The following is a 25,879-nucleotide window of genomic DNA, read 5'->3' as shown; positions in this document are numbered from 1 at the left end:
GTTCTTTGTATCTGTCAGAGTCCTGGCAGGAAATGGTTTCATTCTCAAAGGGTTAACTAGGAAGAATTTAGTGAAGGGTCAGTTTAGAAGGTTCAGGAACTAACGGAAAATGGTGAAGCACCCAGGGACTGGCACTGGAGCTTCCCCACAGGAGCTGAGGCCAGAGAAGTATACATCCATTGTTGTCTTAAAGAGTGGTTAACTATCTATTTGCTCTTACTTTCAACATTTCTGCTGGGGCCTTGCATTGAGCAAACTCAACTGTAATCTAGAGAGCAGGGACTCCTGAGTGGCACATTCAGTGGGAGTCAGCTTCCTAGGGAATCATTTATTTATTTATTATTTATTTATCAGAGTCTCACTCTGTAGCCCAGGCTGGAGTGCAGTGGTGCGATCTTGGCTCACTGCAACCTCTGCCTCCCGGGTCTCTGTTCAAGCAATTCTCCTGCCTCAGCCTCCTGAGTAGCTGGGATTACAGGCACGTGCCCCCATGCCCAGCTAATTTTTGTATTTTTAGTAGAGACTGGGTTTCACCATGTTGGCCAAGCTGGTCTTGAACTCCTGACCTTGTGATCTGACTGCCTCAGACTCCCAAATTGCTGGGCTTACAGGCATGAGCCACTGAGCCCTGCCTTCCTAGGGAATCTTGTAGGAAAGACAAAGGTAGAGAATCTGTCTGATGGCGGAAGCAAATGAATGCCCATCACATGCACTTTCCTCCAACAGAGCAACTCGGATGCTATGAAACAATGCTAAGTCAGTCTCAGTGTCTGTTGCAGTAATATTGTACATACTGTAGGTCTTAATCATAGGAAATTACATGCCCATTGCCCTGTGCATGGACCGGAGCGCACTTATGGGGGGCCGGTAGTCCTCCTTTCAGACATCTTTTTTTTCTCTGCCCCAACAAGTGGCCTTTCCATAGAAGACTGCCCAGAGAACCCTATGGCAACCCTACCCTCTTATTCCACTTTATTTTTCTTCAAAGTGTTTATTACTCCCTGTTGTTATGTTAGACTCTATATTTCTGTATTTGCTGTCCTCCAACTTGAAAAGAACCTCTGAGAGGGGAGGGACTTTCCTGGTCACATTCACTTGTCCCAGCACCTGCGATGGTGCCTGACATATCTCAGGGGCTCCTTAAATATTTATTGCTAGACAATGGGTATCATGGCTCAGCCTCCTCTGGGGTTACGAGGCTGGAGGAAAGAAACTTTAGCATGAGTGCAGTGAGAGTAAAAGAATTCAGCAGCTCTAATCAGGGAATGAATCTGGTGTGTAATAGGATCTCAAGGCTTGACTCCTAGTCTAAGACCATTTCTGGAGTTTGCTGACTTGATCCCCATCCTTCATCATTAGCACTTTGCAGGGAAGGAGCTGAGCGTGGATCTTGACTCTGAATTGGCTGGGGCATGCAAAATCGGGGGCACGCTTGGTGTTGCCCAGGCTCAGCTCTGCCTAGACACACGTGAGGGCCAAGATCTGGTTTGTGTTTCATGAGCTCTCCCACGATGAAGACCCAGCCAGGCTGTCTGAAGAAGGGGTGTTCTTGAGTAGGAGGGAAGGACTGCTCCAATACGAAAAATCTAACAATAGCATAGTCCTTAAGAGCTTGAGCTTTGAAGAGGGAGAACAGACCCATTTAAGGCATGAAAAATAAAGGAAACTCTTGAGTCCCTCCAAGGAAAATTCCAGCCACCTGGCTAGCCTCAAGAAGTAGATGAGCACCCTGATAAGTAAGAAGGTAATAATAGCTTAAAACAATAGTCAAGAAAATTAGAGCCACAAACTAATCTTAAATGACGAGTTAATGGGTGCAGCACACCAACATGGTACATGTATACATACGTAACATACCTGCACGTTGTGCACATGTACCCTAAAACTTAAAGTATAATTAAAAAAAAAAGAAAATTAGAGCCACAAAATGTTTGTTTCCCTATAGAAACTAGAGATAACATCTTAACATATGTCCCTGAGTTGTTTTGTAGAAACCCAGACCCCGCTAAATGGAAAATACCACCTGTTGGCTCGTAGATCTCAGATAAGGAGGAACTGAGGACTGAACACTCATAACTGTTCTTTGTTCTAAATTTCTTCCTGAGGGACCTGGAGGAAGTCACACCCACAGGCCAGAGCAGAACATTCCTTTCTGCTGACCCCAAGTTTGTAGCCAAAACTTAACCAATCACAAATCAGAAAATCTTTGGGTTTTTGTTTGTTTGTTTGAGACAGAGTCTCACTCTGCTGCCCAGGCTGGAGTGCAGTGGCACGATCTCAGCTCACTGAACCCTCTGCCTCCCACGTTCAAACGATTCTCATGCTTCAGCCTCCTGAGTAGCTGGGATTACAGGTGCACACCACCATGCCCAGATAATTTTTGTATTTTTAGTAGAGATGGTGTTTTGCCATGTTGGTCTGGCTGGTCTCAAACTCCTGGCCTCAAGTTATCCACCCACCTTGGCCTCCCAAAGCGCTGAGATTACAGGTGTGAACCACTGCACCTGGTCTCAAATCAGAAAATCTTTGAATTCATCTAATGGTCACCTATCCTGTGGGCCCTCACTTTGAGATATTTTGCCTTTTTTGGCGAAACCAATATGTAGCCTCCATGTATTGTATGACCTTGCCTGCAACCTCTGCCTTCCCACCTTTAAAAACCCTTACACATAAGCCATCAGGGAGATTAGGCCTTAAGGATTAGCTCCCTGATACTCCTTGCTTGCTGCCTGCAATAAATTCCTCAACTTGTGTCTCAGCAATGCCGATATCAGTGCTTGACTTTGATAGGCTGGGTGGGTGGACCCAAATTTGGTTTGGTGACCCTTTGAGCTTAGATTCAAAATTCTAGTTTTGTCACTCTGCAGTTTTGTGATCTTGAGCAAGTTACTTAACCTCTCTGAGCCTTGTTTGTCATGTGTAATGAAAAGAGCTATACTTACCTTGTGAGGTAGTCCTCAGGATTCAATGAGATAATAAGTACTCACTAAACAAAACTCGTTATTACAAAAGAATCACTTTGTCTCTGAAGTGGGCAATTCAACCCATTTCTAGGAGATTTTAAACATGATTTTAGATATTTGGTGTGATTTTGTGAATGGGTTTATCGTTAATAGCTTTCATGCTCCAGAATTTTCTTGAATAATAGGTTTTTGCAAAGTGCATTCCATGGAATACTCATTTGGGTGACGTTAATAGACATCACTCAAAAGCTGGGTGAATATTACAATGTTTACTTCATCTGTAACAAGCTGAGTAGCTACAGTACATATCTAAGAGGGGGCTCTAATTCTCAATATTTTCCAAATTTATTAGATCACAGACTTTTCTTTTAGTGAAGTGCTTAATGAAACTTAAGTTCTGTGAAAAGTACTTTGAGAAATATTGCTTTAAAAAGAAAAAGATTGAGCCCTGTATCAGGGGAAATATCTAATATTATATTAAACAAAAAAGTCCCACTGAAGAAAATCATCTTATTGTTCATAGACCTTAGTTTAGGTATTGGGGCCAAAGGATGGATGACCATTTCAAACGATCCAGGCTAAGCCAGGAGGAGAGCTCAAAGTCTGATCTGGTGAGTAAGTTGTGAAGGGAATGTGATGAAAAAATACACTTCTATTGCAAAGAAATCATGAGCTAGGTTTATACGCTATGCTGTGAATGGCCAATAGATTATAAATTCAACAGTCTCCCTGTCACAGCTATGGTAATGACGACTGTTTAGGCCTTAGGGGAGCTTTAGGGAGAGGCAATTTCATACTTAAGTCACACTGACTTAAAAAGTGAAATATTTGAAATCATTGTTGAAATCACGTGGAGGTCGTCAGCAAGCGGATGAGGTTGGAATGCCTATCATTTTCCTCAAGCTCATGTCCTCTCATTTTCTTATTTGAAAATCTATTTGGCTCAGAAAGGACACCTAGGGTTAGTCAAAAATCACCTCCTGATGTTCCTTTTAAAGGAAGCTTCCAAGTTATTTGAATAGCTTCCAAGTTATTCATCGAGAAACAAAGCAAATTCAAAGATTATGTCCGTAGGCACAAACTGGATTTTAAGAAATCCTGGCTGCATAAACAATTGTCTTATAGAAAAGAATTTCTGTTCCTCTTTTCCCTCCCCTTGTCAATCCTATTTGTTTCAGACCTGGGTTCAAACACTAGCTGTAGAGGCTATAAGCTATTGGAAGCACATTTGAGCCTGAAATAAACTGAACCTCTTTTGCCTTGGTTTTCTCACTTGTAAATGGGGATTTTTGTGCCTACCTCAAAGGTACGTTGCAAGGATCGAGGGACAAAGCGTGCAGCAAGTGGCCAATGAATAGAAGTCTGGTTTTCTGAGCATCCTTGCAGCTGCAGGCTTCAGTCTACCAGAGAATGTGAGGTGTTATTCTTCTAGGGCAGTGGTTAGAAAAGAAAATGAAAGTAGCAGTACTCTTTTCCTAATGCAACCATAGATGGATGATCAGAATTTGTAATCCATAAGGTAGAAGCCGCTGTGCCTGAAGAAATAGAAAGTGGGCAGAGGTGGAGGGGCAAGGTAGGGAGTGGAGTGGAAGGTAGGGAGAGTTTGATCCTAGCCTGCACTGCTCCTCAGAGGTACTTTAGCCTCTTTGGAACAGTATTAGAAAATCATGGTTCTATCAACTCATGTCTGAAAATCAATTGCTATTTCAGAGCAGGAGGTGACCAATCTTGGAAATAAGGAAGGGAGAGAGGCAGCCAGGCCAGCAGCTCCTAGGATTAGTCACTGCCTGGAGCCAGCTCTTGGAAGTTCCCCAGGAGCTGTCCAGTCTTATGTCATGTCTAGTCAGCAGAGTCCCAAAGAAGCTTGTCATTCTCTAGGCATTTGTGCTTACATTCTGATGGGCCTAATAGCAGGGAGATGACATGGAGCCCAGGCAGAACAGCTGAGATTTCTACTGGTCATGACCTCCATCTTCTCCTTCACACCTTTCCTACCTTTCTTTTTCCATGCATTCAACAGACATTTATTACCCAATAAGTGCCAGGTAGTAAGCGAGGACCTGGGGAGAGCAGATGAGTAAGACACCGTCTCTGTCTCTCAGGAGCTCTCAGATTCTTAGGGACACATGTACATCCTAATAAACACAGTGCATCTCATGAATGTGTAAGTTTAAGTTATTGATATAGGCACACACAGACAGAGGGACTTCATTCCCTGCAGGTTCTGTAGTATTTCGTGCCCACTCCCCTTTCTTCCCTTGCTGCTCACATCATCTTGCCTTCAAGGAATCTGGGGGGATGGTAGACTGAAAGTGGCCCTTTCTGCATAATTCTTCTTGAAAATAAACATTTGCTCTCTTCTTAGAGGCTGACTATACTGAGAGCTACCACTCCTTGGCTGCTTATTAGCCATTGGGTTATTGCTAAGCCCTTTACATATGTTATATCATTTAATTGTATTGAATCTTCACCATAACACTTCAATGGAAATATTTTTCTAAATAAGGAAAGGTGAGACTCAAAGTAGTTGTATTAGTCTGCATTGCTATGAAGAACTACCTGAAACCGGGTAACTTATAAAGAAAAGAGGTGGGCCGGGCGCGGTGGCTCATGCCTATAATCCTAGCACTTTGGGAGGCCGAGGTGGGCAGACCACGAGGTCGGGAGTTAGAGACCAGCCTGGCCAACATGGTGAAACCCCGTGTCTACTAAACACACACACACACACACACACACACACACACACACACCTGTAATCCTAGCTACTCAGGAGGCTGAGGCAGGAGGATTGCTTGAACCCTGGAGGTGGAGGTTGCATTGAGCCAAGATCACACCACTGCACTCCAGCCTGAGTGACAGAGCGAGACTCCATCTCAAAAAAAAAAAAAAAAAAAAAAAAGAAAGATGTTTAATTGACTCTATGTTCCACAGGCCATACAGGAAGCATGGCTTGGGAGCATGGCTGTACTCCAGCCTAGGCGACAGAGTGAGACTCTGTCTCAAAAAAAAAAAAAATCCCCATATCCCCATTCACTGTCCTTTTCTCTAGAAAATACCCCATTTCATATAACTGTCTAAACAACGGTTTAAGGTCTACACAAGATTGTGAAGTGAACCTGCAGGATTAGGAGGGTAAGGATTCCCACCTAGGTGGGCTCACTTGCTCTGCCATACCTGGGTAGGATCCCAGCCTGCTTCTGTGATTGTCAGGAGGCACCAAAAAGGCTACCCTAGGTTTTCTGTCATTCGGCCCAAACATTTCCTCTGCTGGGCAAATGTGGAAAAGAGGCATTAAGCTGGTGCTCCCACAACTGAAAGGAAAGCAATTCTCTTTCTGTTGTGGTTCCTTCCTCTTTGGACTCTTTTCTTCCATTCCAGCCTATCCCCTTCTTGGAAAAGCTGTTCTACCAATAGCAGGGAAGAAACAGCACCGTGTACCTGATACGCTACCCTGGGCACAGGCGATCAGACCAGGGATAGACACCTGAACTGATCTGGGCAGATGCCCTCTTCTGGCCATTGAGAATTGACAGCATCAGACATCTAGAACATAATAGTATTTTTAAATTCTGCAGGGACATCCACCAGGCTGAGGGGGACCAATTTTGTTTTAAAAATGTATCCTGAACTTGGCCGGGCATGGTGGCTCATGCCTGTAATCACAGCACTTTGAGAGGCCAAGGTGGGCGGATCACTTGAGGTCAGGAGTTTGAGACCAGCCTGGCCAACGTGGTAAAATCCTGTGTCTATTAAAAAATACAAAAATTAGCCAGGCGTGGTGGTGTGTACCTGTAATCCCAGCTGCTGGGAAGGCTGAGGCAGGAGAATTGCTTGGACCAGGGAGGTGGAGGTTGCAGTGAGGTGAGATCATGCCACTGCATTCCAGCCTGGCCAACAAGAGCAAAATTCCATCTCAAAAAAAAAAGTATCCCAAACTTGGAAGTAAAAATAGGATGACTGCACGTCTTTCTAATGCCATACTGGAAGGTTGCCTAACAAACCACCAAAGCTTTTTTTAACTCTCTAAGGGAAGGTACTTTTGTTTGACTTACTATTTACTATTGATTAGGGCCCAGACTCTGCCAAGTTACATGTTAATTTTTGTCTGGTAGAGATACAAATGATTTTTGTCCTGTAAAAAGATTTTATTGCTCCACAGGACATTAATGAGTGAGGTTTCCAAATTAGCAAACTTATGTCAGCATGCTGTTTCTGATGGTCTATCCAAATCTTTCTCCTTCCAATTCTCTTTTCAAACAGCTTTACCATCCTCTGGTTCTTTCTTTTGTGAAGTAAACAGATCTTTATACACACTCCCTATAGACTTATATAAGAATCATGTTTTCACTTTTTGAAAATGATGCTTTGACAATTCCACTGAACAGGCTGGGGAAAATTTTATGAGAATTGTTGGATCCTGCTCAGAAGCAAAAAGATAAAACCAGGCTATCCTCTATCATGGCTGATCTGGGGTTCATTCCCAGAAATGAGGGTCTTGGATCAGGGTCAAATATGTGGGTGGGGTGGGCTCAATTGCTGAGATACCCATCTCATGAGGAAGGATGGGACCCATATTATGGGAAACAAAACAGGAAGAATGAGAGTGAAAAGATTAATCCTTTCACTAAATTGGGAAAACAGGAGAAAGTGTTGTTGGATAAAGAAGGAACTTTAGCACAATGAGCAGAGACAAGACGGTAAATGTTCCTTATCCAGTAATCTCTGATGAAAGGCCAGTGCTCACATCATTAGTAATGTCCAGAAATGATAATATCAGTAGTAGCAATACTCACAATGTAAATAAGTAGCTCTCATGTTTTGATTGCCAATAGTGCTAGCAACCTTACATGTATCACTCTTTACCCCAGCCCTGTTAATTGGTACTATGATGAAGAAAGAGACTCAAAGAAAATAAATGACTCACTCGCGTATTTTTACACAGCTAGAATTGCTACAGAAAGGATTAAAGCCAAGTCTATCCAAATCCACTGTCTATGTCCCTCCCTCCCTCCCTCCCTCCCTCCCTCCCTCCCTTCCTTCCTTCCTTCCTTCCTTGCTCCTTCCTTCCCTCCCTTTCTGCCTCCCTCCCTTTCTGCCTCCCTCCCTCCCTATCTCAAACATCTATTGAGTGTCTACCATGTGCCAGGCACTGTGTCAGGCTCTTGGGATACAGCAATAAGCCAAGTCCTTGCTTTCAGGGAGTTTACATTCCAGTGAGAGGGTCACAGAAACAAATGTATCTCTATGGCAGCAAGTGCTATGAAGAAAATCAGCTTCATTTTTATTGTTTCATGCCCATCATGCAGGTTTCCCACAGTCCATCATCCCCACTCCACCCCCCACCCAATGTAGTGCTTTCCTCTGTCCTGGAGAATCGGAAAGACTTCACAGCAACATCTGCAGTCCCTTTGTTTCAGTGACTTTGGCACAGAGAAGTGGACACGGTGGCAGACAAAGCTGCTGGAAGCTGTCAGGCTACTGGCAGCCAAAAGCTTAATCACACATTCCAAAGGCAGTGTGTGTGTGATGTTGCATCTCTGGCCCTGGAAGGGAGATAGAGGTCACCTTCTTGGGAGTCAGAGTTGGCCCCTCAGCTCCCAGGGGTTCAGCTGAGCAGCTTCAGAGGGCTGACTGCAGAGACCAGGAAGGGGCCATTCACTCTGATGGGAATTGGGAATCATTGATGCTCGAGCAGCAGCTGAGTTAAAATTCATGCTAAGAAATCAGCATTCACATGTGTACATATTTAAGTCAGGATCTCAGTGAAGAGGGCATGACAGCAGTGAAAAGAGGTGCCAGACCTGAAGTAGGCTACCTTATGGTTGCTGCTTCACCTGTTGCTCTACACACACACACACACACACACACACACACGATTCCAGAAGATAGTGGGACAGTAGCAATTTGAAGGCTCTGCCAGAAAAGCATTTGCTTAAAGTGTTGGGAATTTTTTGTTGGATTGTTGTTTCATTCATAGGGCTTCTAAATTTCACTTTTGCATTTTAACCATTTCAAGGAATTCCCCCTGATTTTGAGTGTGAATGGGTACAAAAGACCAGGGGTTGTTAACCAAAAGCCTGGAACATTCAGGTGAACGGCTGTTCTGCAGGGAAGGAGGGAAACAGCAGGGTGAGATGGATGGTCAACCTTCAAAGGCCTTACACAGTCCCGGCCAGGATAATCTTCGCCTCTCCCTTCTGCTGGGGAAAAGTCTGGATTGCTAAGACCAGGGTCTCTATAGTGGCATCTCCAACACTCAGGCCGAGCTTCATGGCTGGGTTCCTGTTTTTTCATTTGCTCATGCCCCTCAGTGGTATCATCTGACTCAGCTCCTTTCCCTCCTGTTGGGCCAGTACTTACAGTGGGTCTCCTGATGAAGCTGAGGTCATGGGTTCATGAGCCCAATTATCACCATGCTGACCGCACCACTAACCTGGCTCCGTGTAGTTGCAAACTTGGCTGCACATTGGAATTCCTAGGGAGAGTTTTAAACATCCCAACGACCAGGCTGCAATGAAATAAGACCGATGAAATCAGGATCTCAGGGGTGGAATGGGACTGGTAATTTACAGAATCTCTCCAGCTGATTCCATATTCAGACAAGTTAGAGCACCAATGCCCTCAGTCCTGAGAGTGAGGGCTGGTCTCATGAATCCATTCACACAGATGGAAGTCCATCCTCACAGCGGTCAGGCCTCACACAACATCGGGCATGTTGGTAGGCATATGCCTAAGTTTCTGTGCAATGAATGCATGCCTTACTGGTGATGCATCAATAGCAAGGCATTCAGGGGAGAGAGTACCCTGCCTCTGTGCCTAGCATGAGACATACATCCAGGACCATGTTTTTATTCCCATCTTATGGATGAGAAAACTGAGGTTCAGAAAGGGTAGGCAAAATCCCCTAGCTCACCTGGCTGGAAGGGGGCAGAACTTCCCTGTACGTGCTGAGAACACCACTGTTCGAGCAGAGGGGAAACCTCTGCAAATTTCACTCTGTGTTCAGTGGGTGACTTGCCAAAATGACTTGCCAAAGCCCTTTAGGGCCAATAAGTTAGAGTGTTTGCATCAAATTTCCATGCACAAGAGCCAACTCAAAACCTTAGATCCAATTCCATTGGTTCCCATAGCTCTGAAGTGGAGAGATGCTAGTAATAAATCCTACAGGCTGATGGCAGGACTTTGATATATAATATTAACTCTGATCTTGGTGGTGGTCTGACTCAAGACAGAGGGAATATTAAAAGCAGTAGTAATCCTTCTAAAAGTTCCATGCGCTTCTGCCCAGATATCCAGGGTTTCTGGCTGAATTAGCCTGCAGAAGCAATTGTGCAGATTAGGTGATGTTGAACCACGAGAAAGTGTCTTCCCACTTAGCAAATCAAGGGTCCATGGGATGGAGAGAAAGGAGGGAATAGAGTTTGTCACTTGGGCTGTACTGACCCCAGTGGTGATGTCTTCCCTTTGATGGGTGGTGTTGGGACAGCAAGGCAGTCATCATTTAGCCCACTAGTGCTAAGGTGGAAGGCATCCGCAGTGCATGGTCTGGCATCCCCAGGCAAAGACAAGAGGATGGGCCCTGCAGAGTGTTTTGGGTTAGAAACAAGCTGAGTGAACTGAGTGTTTCTTCAGGGAGCGCACTAAAGATGAGCCGACAAATCCACGACAGTGGGGAGTGAGGTGAGGCAGGGACACAAATCCACAGCTGACTCACCCAGCACATTCCCACCTCCTCAGCATAGAAAACCACAGGGACAAACTGACCAGAAGGCCATTCATCCATGGGTCTATCCCGTGCCTTGATCAGTCTTCCTAAATCCCACCTTTGCCAAAGTCACTCCAGTCTGTGAATTTTCCATGGCTTCCTGATGCATATGGAAAGACGTTCAGACTCCCAATCTGAGGTCCAATGCTCTCCAGAATTCCATCTTTCCCTACCTTCCTGGAATCATTTCCCATTGACTTGCCATCTACCTGGACAAGCTGGAATGGCTGCTTTGGCTGTCTTCTGAAAATGCCCTGAGGTGTCTCTGCCCCAGGCCTGTCTCCTGTGCCCCCAGAGCTGCCCAGGCCCCTGCTTCCTACAGAGACCAGCTCACAGTCTTCTTGTCAGTGGTCATCTAACAGTGGTCTTGTAAAAGCAGAGCAAGTTCCAATCTTATTTATAGCATTCAGCAGTTTTTTTTTTTTTAGAGCTGGTGTCTTGCTCTGTTGCCCAAGTTTGAGTGCAATGGCTCAATCACAGCTTCACTGCAGCCTTGAACTCCTGGGCCCTAGTGATCCTCCTCTTTCAGCCTCCTGAGTAGCTGGGACCACAGGTATGCACCACCATGCCCACCTAAACACAGTCTACCTTTATGTGTGTGTGTCCATCCATCACCAGATGCTCACGGAAGGTAGGGCAGAAACATTTTGAAAAATAATTTTTACCTTTGAAGAGTAATCTTAATGATAACCTAGCAGGTGCTCAGATACATCGGGTCGATTCACTTCCTATGGCTGTGTAACAAATTACCACAAACTTGGTGATTTAGAGCAATGCCCATTTATTATCTCAGGGTTTCTATAGGTCAGAAGTTTGGGTGTTGCATGGCTGGATTGTCTGTTTAGGATCTCACAGGGTTGAGATCGGGGTAGCCAGGTTTGCTTCTCATCTGGGGCTCCAAGTCCTCTTTGCAAGCTCACTGGTTGTCAGTAGAATTCAGTTCCTGTGGTTGTAGGACTGAGGTCCCCATATTCTTCTTGCTGTTTGTCAGTCTGGGGTGCTCCCAGCAACTCAAGGCCACTCTCAAGTTGTTGACACAGGGTGCCAACATCTATCTTCAAAACCAGTAGGAGGATTTCTCTTGCACTGAATCTCTTTTGCATCTCTGACATTCTCAGTCTCTGACCTCTAGATCCAGATTTAAAGGGTTCACTTGATTCTATCAGACCCACTCAGGACAATTATTTTGTTGTGCGTCCCTTTTTCTGGGAAGTGGGTCCACCACTTCTATCACGTTCTTAAAAGGGTCTGGGAATGTTCACCCATCACAGACATCCACACCAGGCCAGTTAAGTCAGAACTGCTGGAGATTCCACATTCTCCTGGGCAGTCTGGGTGGAGAACCACCTATGTGGAAGGAACACTGGGCTCCAAAGATAAGGGGCCTTGCATTTTATTTCATTACCAGTGTCTATTGGCTCTGAGACCTTACAGAAATCACTCAACTTCTCAGGGCCTCATTTGCAAACACGGATGATAATAGTAAGCTCCATCTCTCACGGTTGTTAGGAGGATTAAAAGTGTATAAAGATGCTCTGCAAGCTCTGAAGTATTAGCCAACCGTCTAGTCAGTGTGAAGAGACACTGAAAAGTGAGGTGGGACACAGCATTTTAAGTGAAAAAGAAGGGAGAAGCTTATCTTTATCAAAGTTAAATATTAGATACTGAGTACTTTGTAAAGTCTGTTGCTGCTGGGGATCAGGCAAATTGTTATAACCTTCCTGGAAGGCAATTTCCCATAATTATCAGCAGTTTACAGAATATCCAAGCCATTTGACCCTAAGATAATGTTTCTAGGGATTTCTCTTAAGGATTTAATCAAGGACACATACACAGATTATAGCAGTTCAAAATTGGAACCCATCTATTTAACAATAAGGGATTGTTTAATTACACATGAAATATTATTTAAACGTGAACATTATATTGCCTTTAAATATTTGACATGGAAAGAAGCTTAAAACTCAGTCCTATTTCCTTATCAATGTTCTATCAACAAGAGGCAGGAGGTGTCACCTCCTTGGGAATCAGAGTTGGCCCCTCAGGTAGGTGTTTGGAGCTTCCTGGTAGGGGCTGGGGACAAAGTGTGGATGGGGCACCTGCTGGACCTGTGGCGAGATCATCAGGGATTGCTATTGGTCTCAGCAAGGGAGTGAGGCTGACCAGTTCTCAGCTGCATTTCAGAGAAGGATGAAATGCCCTAATCAGAAGTCAGCTCCCCTCATGACCCTGGAGGGAATTCTGCCCACTCACAGACTCTTTCTTATTCTGGGCCTCTGCTGTTATCTGGGTATAGCTCCCTGTCACAGTCAGTTTGGGGACTGATCCTCCAGGAAATTCCTGGGAACTCTCGGCAGGCTGAATGCTTCTCCTTTGTGACTCCCCTGCCATGGCGGTTGTGCCCCTTCTTACCTTCTACAGACACGACTTTTCATGGGCCTCTTCCTTTCTCCCCACCGGTAAATCACCACCCTTCAAAGGCAGGAACTGTCTCTATTTCATCTTAGTATCCTACGGGCCTGGCCCAGAGTAGATGCTCCAAAAAACTTGTCCTGAACTGAATGGGCGTGAAGCTGGGGCCTGTTGCACTGTGTTGTTGTGGGGCGGGGTGACTTCCAACCACACTGGGAGCCATCTCCCTCTCTCATTCCGAGGGAAGAGTCCGCAGCACAGATGGGCGCAACCCAATGTCAGGAGCTGACACTGTGATCAAAGAAAATCATTTCCATTGCTCCTGTAGATGGAAAGAGTCAAACTCAGTAAAATATTTGAAGAGATGTATTCTGAGCCAAATATGAGTGACCACGGCCCTTGCCATAGCCCTCAGGAGGTCCTGAGAACATGTGTCCAAGGTGGTCGGGGTACAGCTTGGTTTTATGCATTTTAGAAAGGCATGAGACATCGATCAAGTACATTTAAGAAATACACTGGTTTGGTCCAGAAAGGTGGGACCAAAGCAGGAGGAGAGGGGCGCTTCCAGGCTATAGGTAAATCTCAGTGAGTTTGTCTAAAGACCTGGGATCCATAGAAAGGAAATTTTCAAGTTAAGATAAAAGATGGTGGAGACCAAGGTTCTTTTGAAGTCTTATAGAGGCTGTCCTCAGAGACAATAGATGGCAAATGTTTCCTATTCAGATCTTTAAAAGGTGCTAGACTTGGCCAGGCACGGTGGCTCATGCCTGTAATCCCAGCACTTTGGGAGGCCCAGGTGGGTGTGGATCAGAAGGGCAGGAGTTTGAGACCATCCTGGCCAATGTGGTGAAACCTCATTTCTACTAAAAATATAAAAATTAGCTGTGTGTGGTGGTGGGCGTCTGTAGTCCCAGCTACTCAGGAGGCTGAAGCAGGAGAATCGCTGGAACCCGGGAGGCAGAGGTTGCAGTGAGCCGAGATCATGTCACTGCACTCCAGCCTGGGCGACAGAGTGAGACTCCGTCTCAAACAAAAAAAAACAAAGTGCTAGACTTTCAGTTAATCTCTTTAGGATTGGGAGGGCCTGGAAGAAAAATATCTAGCTATGTTAATAGAGATTCTTTACAGATACAAATTTTCCCCCACAAAGGACAGCTTTGCAGGGCCATTTCAAGATATGGACAAAAAAGCCTATGTTTTGGGGTAAAATATTTTGATTTTCTTCCTTGTCTCATAATGTTATGACAGAGTCAGTTTGGAAAGTAAGTCACAATATATAGGGTTAAATAAAATCCATCTGATGAGAATTTATGGTTTGTAGGACATCACTCCCCAGACCCTTTAGATAGGGAATTTGGGTAAGATAAAAAAAAAAAATCAGAGCTTAGTCTTCACTTGCAAGGGTGCCCCTGTGTTCCTCCACTCTCCATCCCCAAGCTGGGCTGGGATTTCTTGAGCCAGATGAGTTGAAGATGCTGCAAAGTTAAAATGGCCTTGCCTTCCTGTGCAGTCAGATGGAGCACCCCCTTCCCTCATCTGGGCCTGCTGAGTAGGGTCTCACTGATCCCCGCACTGTGTGTCCCTTAGACCTTTCCTGAGACCCAGCCCTTCCCCCGGTGGAAGGGAGAATTATTTGAAAAGTGTGGGTTTTGGTGTCAGACAGACTGGGACCCAGGTCTAGGCTACTGAACCAGTGAGCTGTGTGGCTTTGTGCATGCTATTTAGACACTCTGAGTTTTAATTTCCTAATTTCTAATTGCCAGACAGGTTGGTTGGGAGGAACAGCTTAGATTGACCTATGAAAGCATTTGTAGACTCGGAAGTGTTCTCATGGCACTTTGGATGAAATCGTTCCTGCTGCTTCAAACTACTGTGTGATGAGTTTCCAAAAATCATTGCCTGTGATCTGCAGGCTCGTTGTATGTCACAGATCACCAGATGTGCTTCCATTCCATGCTTGCTTCTGCAGTCCTGTTCTAAGCTCTGGCCTAATATTCTTCCCGCCCACGGAGCTCTTGCCACTGCCTCACCGCAGAGACTGGAACCCTGTCCTTTAACTCCCAGCTCAGAGTGTAGGGAAGTGTTTCTCAAAGTATTCTCTGTGTTATCTGCTTCCAAATTGCCTGGATATTGGTTAAAAACCAAACCTCTGGTTCCCCTTCCAGACTGAAGGATGAGAATTGGCTGTGGGAATGAGTGGGAATCTACGCTGTTGTGAAGTTCCCCACAGGGATCTCCTGCATCTTAAGGCTCAAAGGCCATGGACCTAGCCCCTGGATACTGGGCATAGGCATCTCAGATGCTGTCTGTTTCTTCACTTCCCTGACTGGCCTGGGCTCTGGGGTTGGGCCCTTCTCATTTCTGGATTTGTGATACTTGTCTTGTATCCCCTTTTATCATAGTGTGCTTTTGCTTACAAGTGAACAAAAACCCAATCCAAAGTGATTTAAACAAAAAGAGCACTTATTGTAAAAGTTCAGAATAAACTGCCTTCAGGCGTGGCTTGATCCAGGGGTGCACACTGTGTTACCAGGAGGCAGTTTCTCTCTGCCTCCTCACTTGGCTACATTTTTCTCTCACTTGTGCATCCTGAGCCATTCACAGAGCTCAGGAGGATGAGTGTTCTGATGGAGCAGGGTATGCTGGTGGTTAGTGCCATCAAAAACAGAATGAGATAATGATATGGCTCAGATGACTGGAGGAGCACCAGGGTTCTTGGTCTAGCACACACTTGGATAAAATGACACAGACACACCTGGAGTGGTTTTAAGGAGCGAAAAGTTTAATATACAAGAAAGAAGGAAGGAAGAAGAAAACAGCTCCCCAGTACAGAGACAGAGGGAGAGGGGATTTGAACAGAGAGAAAACCCCGGTGGGGAGAAGGGATGTGGGGGGAGGGCGTGTGTGTGGTGTAATCAGCTAGTTATATGAGGAGGCTGGAGGAGGCGGTGCTGGCTTGCATAGGGCTCAGAGGATTGGTTTGACCAGGCAGGTCATTCACATAGCCTGCGAAAAAGCTGGCCCTCACAGTCTAGCCTTTTAAGATGCAAATGCAGGGCGCCATGATGTTCTACACACGTGGGGATATGTGGGGGCGGCCATGTTGCCAGCCACCTGTTGGGGCAAGGAAGAAACCTGGAATCTCCATGTTTGGGTGGACTCAGTTTCCAGTGGCCTGCGTTTGCATATCAAAGCTTGCCAGTGGCTCTTAGAGCTGGCGCTCTCCTGTTAGACAAGAAAGGTTTCTGGATCTGCTTTAAAATAAACAAAAACTTCCCAAGGACCTCTTTTCCTCTCTATCTGCCTAAAATAATTTCTTAATAACTCCTATAACAATAAGGGGGTGGTCCATTCCCACATGTAAATTGAGGCTTTTCCCAGAAATAGGGTGAATAGATGCTGAGTTACCCCAGTCAGCAAATGTCCATTTATCTCATTTGTGAACTCTGGACTCTGCACAGAGACTGTGGTGACACAGGCTGTCCTGTGACCCTGTGGCTGGGTCAGCTCCTGTGTCTGCGACAGGATGCCCTGAGTCCCCATGGATTCCTCAACCCCACACCCTGTCCTACTCTTAGCCAAGTCAGCCATGCCCCTCTGAGGGCTACGCTGCTTCAATAGGCCTGGCTTCCTAAGTACCTTTCATTATCACCCAGGCTCATACCCAGAAGCAAAGCAGAAATTTCTTTTGAGATCCAGGGTGGGAAATGGTCAGTTGAATTGAGTTGCAACCGAAGGTGAGGAAACGTCTTTTATGAAAACCCATTTCCCTCTGTCGGAGGTGATTTCAGTCACATTTTCCAAGCTCAGGATAATTTACCCCCTACCAGGGTGTACTGCAGAAGGTCTGGCTGGAAGGCCCCGAGCACAGGAGTTGATTGCTAGCTGCTAAGAGGCTGCGCTTTGTTCCCGAAGGAGAAAGCTGCAGGTTAAGAGAACATTCCCCACCTTGCCAGGGGTGACAAAGCAGGGGACTGCTTGAGGGCTGACACTGGAGTTAGAGATAATGAAAGGAGAGGAGGAAGAAGAAGCCAGGGCCTGGCTCAGCATCTCACCGCATTGGTGGGGAGAGGAGCTGCTCACCTTCTCGCACCTGTTGTTGGGCTGAGACAGATTTTCAGAGAGCAATGCCTCCTGGACAGAGGCTCTTCCCCACAGGGCAAATGTAATTAGATGAGAGAAAAACAAAGCTCTGAAACCCTAATTAGGTGCCAAGCCCTCAGGCTTTATACATCTAAACAGCTAAGGAACAGAGGATAAGATTCTCCAGTCGGCACTCCCTTGCCAGTCCTGGCTGAGCTAATGGTGAAGTGAGAGCTGTGCCACAGATCCCATGGTTGGCTTTTTGTTGTTGTTATTTCAGATGGAGTTTCACTCGCCACCCAGGCTGGAGTGCAGTGGTGCAATCTTGGCTCACCACAATCTCCGCCTCCTGGGTTCAAGTGATTCTCCAGCCTCAGCCTCCCGAGTAGCTGGGACTACCAGCGCCCGCCACCATGCCTGGCTAATATTTTGTGTTTTTAATAGAGACGGGGTTTCACCATGTTGACCAGGCTGGTCTTGAACTCCTGACCTCAGGTGACCTGCCCACCTCAGCCTCCCAAAGTGCTGGGATTACAGGCGTGAGCCACTGCACCTGGCCCCGTGGTTGGCTTTTACTCCTTCCATTCTGCCACCCTGAAGCTGATCCTCTGGAATTTGCTTGTTTTTGGTGTGTCCAGAAATGAAGGTCTATCAGTTCTTGAAATTGGGTTGTTTTAAGTAACTGATGTGCTGGGATGACAGTGAAGAAGACAAGATAGGGATTCCTCTTCCTAAACTTTAGGGCCTGAAGGGACTCCTCATTGACAGCAGATGGGATTTTTAATTTAACTCTGGGATGGAGGAAGTGGAGAGGTGATCCAGGCTGGATTGAAATCTCTCAAGCCTGGGAGATTTTGCCCAAAGACTTTTGACATGGGAACAGTAGAAACATTGGGAAAATTGGACTTTCAGGTCAGCATTCTGGGTATTTCCCCAGTCTTCCCAGGGTGGGATCATCTGGCCCCAGTTATGGGAATAAGACCACATAAATAGAAGATGACTTGGGAAGTCATCTTCCCAAGGTGTCAGGGAGGAGGTGGAGGACCACTGTTCTGATCAGCCTCCTTCAACCTCACAGTGGGGTTGGTCTCAGATGGTGCCCAGGAACCTGCCAGCAGCGGCACTTTGATGGCACCAAGATCGTGGGTGCAGGGACCCAGATTTGCTTCCTACTCATGTCTCCCTACCCACTGAAAAATGGAATATCAGTGAGGAATATCTTAGAGGGCTGCCTTTGCTCCTTTTGCCAGAGAACCATATTGGTTATTAACAATTGGGCCACATCTGGTGTGCAGAAAAATGAATATTTTAATAGTGCTTCATAGGGTATCGTAGCATCTTATAAAAAGTGGCCCATCAAATTATTGATTCAATCATTTAAAATGCATTAGCAGAGGATGCCTATCAGACTAAGACATCCATGTTTCTGATCCAGTGAAAAGGGTCCAGGTAAGGAACACATATGAAGCCTCTTGGCATCCTTGTGTGAGCACGGTGCATGACGTGGCCATCAGTATCATTGTTTTCTTTGAGTTTTTGCTTGAGTGTTGAGATGTGTGAGGGATAGAAGATCCTTGTTTGCTTCTAGTCCTGACCTACACTGTCCATTAGGGAAATAATTTGTTTTCTTGAACCCATTATATGAATAATTTTGTTTTTAATCAATAGAAACAAATGGTCTTTATTTAACTAACAGAAAAAATTCCAATGAGGCCAGGCCACATAGGGGTTTCTGTAAATGTCATATCATTTCTCTTCTGTCCCCTCAGCTAAGAGTATAAAAAGTTCAGGCGACCTCCAGGGGCTTTTGCCTACTTAAATAGTATTACTTAGAGATGAGCTAGTACTTGGTTTTAAAAGTAATTTTTTTTTTCTTTTTTGAGACGGAGTTTCGCTCTGGTCGCCCAGTCTGGAGTGCAATGGCACAATCTCGGCTCGCTGCAAGCTCCACCTCCTGGGTTCAAGAGATTCTCCTGCCTCAGCCTCCCAAGTAGCTGGGATTACAGGTGCCTGCCACCATGCCTGGCTAATTTTTGTATTTTTAGTAGAGACGGGGTTTCACCATGTTGGGCAGGCTGGTTTCAAACTCCTGACCTCAGGTGATCCGCCTGACTGAGCCTCCCAAAGTGTTGTGATTACAGGCGTTAGCCACTGCTCCTGGCCCTAAAAGTAACAGTTCTAAGCTTTGTACTTACGACACCAAAAACATACAGACTGACATCTAAGTAATTAAGTCAATCATTAAGATATTTAGTTATGTCATGCAAAATAATAATCTCCAAGGAGTTCTCAAAGAATTCAGTAGTTTGATGTTATTGCCAGCACAGCCTTTACTGAGTCCTCTTATAAATCTTAAAGAAAAATTTAAGATTTTTAATTTTTAAAGATTTAAAAATTTTTAATTAAATTTTTTTTTTAGGGCTGGACTCTTGGTCTGTCGTCCAGGATAGAGGGCAGGGATGCCATCACTACTCACTATAACCTCAAACTCCTGGGCTCAAGCAATCCTCCCACCTCAGCCTCCGGAGTAGCTGGGACTACAGGCATGCCCCACCACATTCGGCTAATTTTTAAAATTTTTTTGTAGAGACAGGGTCTCACTATATTGTCCAGGCTGCTCTCAAAATCCTGGCCTAAAGTGATCCTCCTGCCTCAGCCTCCTGAGTAGCTGGGTTAGATCCTGGCAAATGAAAGGGCCCCAGCTTTGAACTACCTTTGGGGAAGATCTCACTGCACACGGGTTCTCACACAGCACACCCCGTCACACACATGAACTCACACTGAGAACATATGAACACTACACACACGTTCTCACACAGCACACCCTGTCACACATATGAACTCACACTGAGAACACGGGCATCACACATAGGGACTCACGCACAGAGGACATGTGAACACTACACACATGTTCTCACACAGCACACGCCCCGTCACACCCATGAACTCACACCGAGAACACAACATCACACACAGGGACTCACGCACAGAGGACATGTGAACACTACACACACGTTCTCACACAGCACACCCCGTCACACCCATGAACTCACACCGAGAACACATCACACACAGGGACTCACGCACAGAGGACATGTGGACACTACACACACGTTCTCACACAGCACACCCCGTCACACCCATGAACTCACACCGAGAACACAACATCACACACAGGGACTCACGCACAGAGGACATGTGGACACTACACACACGTTCTCACACAGCACACCCCGTCACACCCATGAACTCACACCGAGAACACAACATCACACACAGGGACTCACGCACAGAGGACATGTGGACACTACACACACGTTCTCACACAGCACACGCCCCGTCACACTCATGAACTCACACCGAGAACACAACATCACACACGGGGACTCACGCGCAGAGGACATGTGGACACTACACACACGTTCTCACACAGCACACGCCCCGTCACACCCATGAACTCACACCGAGAACACAACATCACACACAGGGACTCACGCACAGAGGACATGTGGACACTACACACACGTTCTCACACAGCACACCCCATCACACCCATGAACTCACACCGAGAACACATCACACACAGGGACTCACGCACAGAGGACATGTGAACACTACACACACGTTCTCACACAGCACACGCCCCGTCACACCCATGAACTCACACCGAGAACACAACATCACACACAGGGACTCACGCACAGAGGACAGGTGAACACTACACACACGTTCTCACACAGCACACACCCCGTCACACCCACACCCCCACATGCGTAGACACACACATCCTTACTCTGCGTGCATCCCTGGCCTGGTGGACGGAAGATCGAGCGCTCTGGGTGGACTTACGGCCACAGGACGGGGGCAGAGTCGGCAGGGAGGCCCCTCCGAGGCCCAGTGGGCCCCGCGCTGGCCCCGGCCGCAGACGCCCACCTGCTGCTGTGCTGGCTGCGGCGTGTGCCCCGGGCTCTGCGGCTGACCTGGCCTCCACGTCTCACCCATGAAGCAGGCATGAAAGGCTGGCCAGGTTGGCTAAATGGGACCACAGCAGAAGCATGAGCCCCAGAATGTGCACGAAGGAAGAGAGAGCCGGGGGAGGTGGCGGGCTGGGTGTGCAGAGTGGGCCTGAGCTCCGGCCTCCTCCCTGGACGCCCTCCCGTGGCCGCAGCCATCCCTGCACCCACTGGTGTGGCCTGACCCCTCACCCTGAGCCCACCCTTCGCGGCCACTAGGGAACCTCAGGAGAGGCCGCCGCGGTGGGGTGGGCGGATTCCCCCGGAGCAGGCCCAGGCCCCTGCTCCTGAGCTCTCCTGCAGCGCCGCCTGCTGGCCACAGAGAGCCCACGTGCGCCAGCCGCCAGGCCTGGGCATCTCCTCTCCTGCAGCGCCGCCTGCTGGCCACAGAGAACCCGCGTGCGCCGGCCGCCAGGCCTGGGCATCTCCTCTCCTGCAGCGCCGCCTGCTGGCCACAGAGAACCCACGTGTGCCGGCCGCCAGGCCTGGGCATCTCCTCTCCTGCAGCGCCGCCTGCTGGCCACAGAGAACCCACGTGCGCCGGCCGCCTGGCCTGGGCATCTCCTCTCCTGCAGCGCCGCCTGCTGGCCACAGAGAACCCGCGTGCGCCGGCCGCCAGGCCTGGGCATCTCCCCGGGCCCTAGTTCCCCCCCTCACCTAAGGGGAGGGACTCCCGTCTTTCCATCCACCCCCTCCTTGCCTCTGCAGAGCTCCAGGGAAGGCTGGCACCCGCTCACTGCATTTAGACTCCATCAGGTTCAGACAGTGGGTCAGGGTACAAGGCTTCAGCGGCCAGGGATGTGGCCTCTAATTTGTAGAGAGAAAGAAGGGCAGAGGCAAAGGTTTGGGCCCAGGGACTGGGCTCCGTTTCCAGAATCACTCTTGGAGCTGGTGAGCAGAGGGCTGGACACTGCCCTCCATGACCAGCACTGCCCTCCACCCTAGCTCACTCCCCTAGCTGGCCCAGGGGTTCAGGCTTTCCTTTCATAAAGTGGGGTCCAGGAAAGGCAAAACCTCCTCCCCTGGGCCACACGAACCGTGGTGCACAGGCTCCCACTAGGTGGGCCAGTCAGCTCATCCCATGGACACACCAGGGGCATCGAGAAAGGAATAGCGACCTGAACCCCATACCCGAAGGGTGGCCCTCAGGACCCCCAAGGCAGGGAACAGGCTGCAGAGGGTTTGGGGGAGCATCTTGGTGCATAGAAAACAAACACTCTGGGAAGCCGCTGTGAGTGTGTGTGGCTCTCAGGCCTGTTCTGTCCTGGGTGCGCTGCGTTCCCCAGGCGGCACCATCTCTCTGCCTCTGTACCCTTGAATTCCCTCTGCCTGCACCCGGTCCCCACCCACCTCCTGCCCAGCCCCACAAGCCCTTCCAGACCACTGCTGGGGCATTCCTGGGCCCCCTCGGTTCTTGGTGACTACCATGCAGTTCTCTATGGAAACTGACTCTCACTGAAAACAAGTGTAACCGTCTACCTAAGAGACTCACACAGAGTTCTCAGCCAGGTCTCCAGGACAATCAGACGCAACTTGTCATTCTCACTCATCCCATCACCCGACTAGCTTCTCAGCCCAGCCCCGGGGGAGGTTTTCCCCTTACTTGAAATGCCTCTTGGATTTGAAAAATCCCAGCGTTCACCCCTGGTGCCGACACTTGCCTCTGTAACCTTCTGCCTGCTGCTTTGCTCTCATCCAGACCGGTTGGCACTTGGCCCCCTCTGGCCAGCTGGTTCCCCAGAGACAACCATCTTGCCCACCTTGTGGAAGGCCCCATGGCCTGCCTCACCCCTCACTCCCATTTCACAGCTCTCGTGGTGCTCTACAAGAAAAATCTGCTTTATAGATGAGGAAAGGCCCTTGGGGCAGACAAGACAGTCCCTGTTTGACATAATTCCTTTATCTCTTCTCCCCCAGCTCTGCTGCCCCCTGCCCCATACACGTGATGGAGCAGAAAACGTGCTGTGTGAACCTGTGACTTCAGGGCCTGTTGACGTGGTCGTGCTTGCATACTCTCTGGTGAGGGGTGGGGAGAGGGGGTGGGAGACGGGTAGAAATAGATGAAGTAGATGATGGGTGGATTGCTGGCTAGATAGATGATAGATAGGGATAGGTGGTATATGGGTGATAGGTAACAGGTGATGGATAGATGACAGAAATAGATGATGGATAGATACTTGATAGGCAAATTAGATAATAGATAGCAATAGATGAACTAGATGATAGATGGAAAGGTAGGTAGGTAGATATATGATAGATGGTTGATAGATAAAAATAGATGAAATAGATGGCATGGTTAGATAGGTGGGTAGGTAGATAGATGACAGATAGAAAGACAATAGACCACTGGGGGCTGAGCCTGGCCTGAGCCAGAAAGGTGAGAAGGGGACAGCGGTGAGGACCCCACAGGTCCCTGCTCTCACCCCTATTAGCCCCAGTGTTTGGCCTGAGCTCTGACTGACAGCTCCCTCTTTCCGAGATGAGACTCAAGAGGAGGAAGAGGGGACTTCCTAAGGACAGGGATTCTTGGTGTCTCCTTGGGGGTGGTAGACACTGCCTGCCTCGCCTGCTGTGGCCTCTCTGCACACAACCAACGACCCCTAAAGGGCTCCATGGGCGCCCATGCTGCCCCCATCAGCTGACACCCCCTGTGCGAAGATTCTCCTCCTCCTCTTCCTCCTGCCTTTCTGTCCCCTCATCCTCCTCTTTATGGAATTAACTTCCCTTGGTCAACATCTTCCTGCTTCACTCACTTCCCTAAACTCCTCCCTATCCCTTCTCAATCTGCAAGAAAAATGTAGAAGGAATATGGTAAAGGAAAGCTTTGAGCCCATATTTGGGTCCAATGCCGACACCACATGCCCCAAAGCCCCCTTGAGAGCATCCACGTCCGTGTAGTTGAGTATTGCCCGAGCTGGAGTGAGATTTGCCTCTCTACGGAGCTGCCTTCCTGCAGTTCAAGAGCACTGTCTCTTTTCTGGGCCTCCTGCCTGGTGCAAGGGCCCCAGCTGAGCCTCCTCCAGCTCTGACCTCTGGTGGTTCCGGGCTGCCCCAGAGGGTCTTGCCCAGGCTCTGACACTTGGCATGGTCTGGGAGCTCCAGCAGCCACAGCCCAGCCCTGGGGAGGCTTTGTGGTCTCTGAGGGGGAAGGTGCACTCCCCCAACTCCAGTTCATGTTTTTCCCTCCAACTCTAAGCCTTTTTCTTCCTCTGCTATTACCCAGGCACCCTACCCTGTCAACAACACTGGCCTTCAAGACCCTTTGTAGCATAACTCCCACCTATAACTCCCACCTGAAGCCAGCCCTTCCCACCTCTGCGCCTCTGATGCCCAGGACAGCTCTGACCATGGGCAGCTCTGACCCAGGACAGCTCTGACCTTGGGCAGCCCTGATCTGGGGCAGCTCTGACCTCGAGTAGCTGTGACCCTGGGCAGCTCTGACTCTGGGTAGTCGTGACCCTGGGGAACTCTCAGCACGGGGGTTGCATGCTCCTGTTTAGACAGCTGCTGTCCCCCAAGCTGGCTCACTATCCCATGTTGGAGTGCACTGTTCGGGGCTGCCTGCCTGGATTGATGCAGGGAAACTTGGTTCCAGCCCACCTCCTCCTGCGGAGGCTGAGTCAGGGGCTCTTCCCTCGGCCAGGCTGAAAGGCAGCAGTTGGTCCCCCTGTGAGGTCTTCCACATGGCCTGGGAGAGTCTCCCCATCTCTTCAGGCAGAAGGGAGGACAGTCCATAATGTTCCTTCCAGTCCTCTGACTTGTCATTTTTCTACCCCAAATCTTGCACTTTACCCCCATAGAGAGCTCCTGAAGGGGGAATTTTAACTGGCAAAACTCAGAACTCCATCCAAACACAACCGAAACCATCCTGGGTGGCTTAGAGGTGGCTGCCTCCCAGACAAGTCCATAGCCCCACAGAAACGTCTGGTCCTTCACCTGCCAGAGCTCAGGCTTTTTGGTTGAAGCCGGAGACAGGCCCAGCTCAGAGTGTGCCCCGGTTTATCCTGAACACCGACTTGGTGCGGTGTGTGTGACAGACCAGCGAAGCGGGTCTTGCTGCCTGTCCTGTGGTTGGCCCTTGGCTCCCAGCCTCGAGTCCTACCCTTAGGCCAGGTCAGAGCAGGTTCAGCAGCAGGACTGGCTAGGCACCACCCAGGCTCATGAGGTGGCTTTGTGGGGAGGAAATGAGGTTTTTTTTTTTCTCTTGTAAAGTTGCTTGTTGTTAATTTAAAATTTTAATTTCATTTCTGAATTAACATTCAGCAAAACTGCTATTTTTTGGTGTACAGTTCTATGAGTTTAACACATTTATAGATTCATGTAGCAACACTGTGGATACAGAACAGTTACATCACCCCCAGAACTCCGTTCACAGTCACACTCCCCGACCCAGCCCCGGCAGCTCTCCCTGTGGTTTGTCTTTTGCAGAGGAAATCCCGCAGCTGGCGGCACTTGGAGACCGGCTCCTCGCCGAGCCGACCGCGCGTGCGCGGCTCCCTCCTCGTCCGTGCTGAGCGCCGCGTGGGGTTCCGCGTGGAGGCGCCTGTGCCGCTGAAGCGTGTTTGGGTTGCTTCCAGGGTGGGATGGTTGTTGGATAGAGCTGTTTGTGCATTTGCGTTGTAGGTTTTTGTGTGAACATAAGC

General features: G+C 48.2%; 1 long non-coding RNA gene across 1 annotated transcript in view; it reads left to right on the top strand.

Annotated features, from left to right (window-relative positions):
- Positions 1-3,249: 3,249 nt before the first annotated feature.
- LOC101927506 (uncharacterized) overlaps positions 3,250-25,879 on the top strand; it is a 49,390-nt gene continuing 26,760 nt past the window's right edge. Inside the window, exons 1-2 of the long non-coding RNA NR_168395.1 lie at positions 3,250-3,574; positions 23,154-23,255. This is a non-coding gene — a long non-coding RNA (uncharacterized LOC101927506). The remainder of the gene's footprint in view (positions 3,575-23,153; positions 23,256-25,879) is intronic.

Source organism: Homo sapiens, chromosome 8 (assembly GCF_000001405.40).
Source record: "Homo sapiens chromosome 8, GRCh38.p14 Primary Assembly".
NCBI classification, from domain to species: Eukaryota; Metazoa; Chordata; class Mammalia; order Primates; family Hominidae; genus Homo; species Homo sapiens.
The sequence above is the reverse complement of the archived record's forward strand: the minus strand, read 5'-3'. Positions and strand labels throughout refer to the sequence as shown.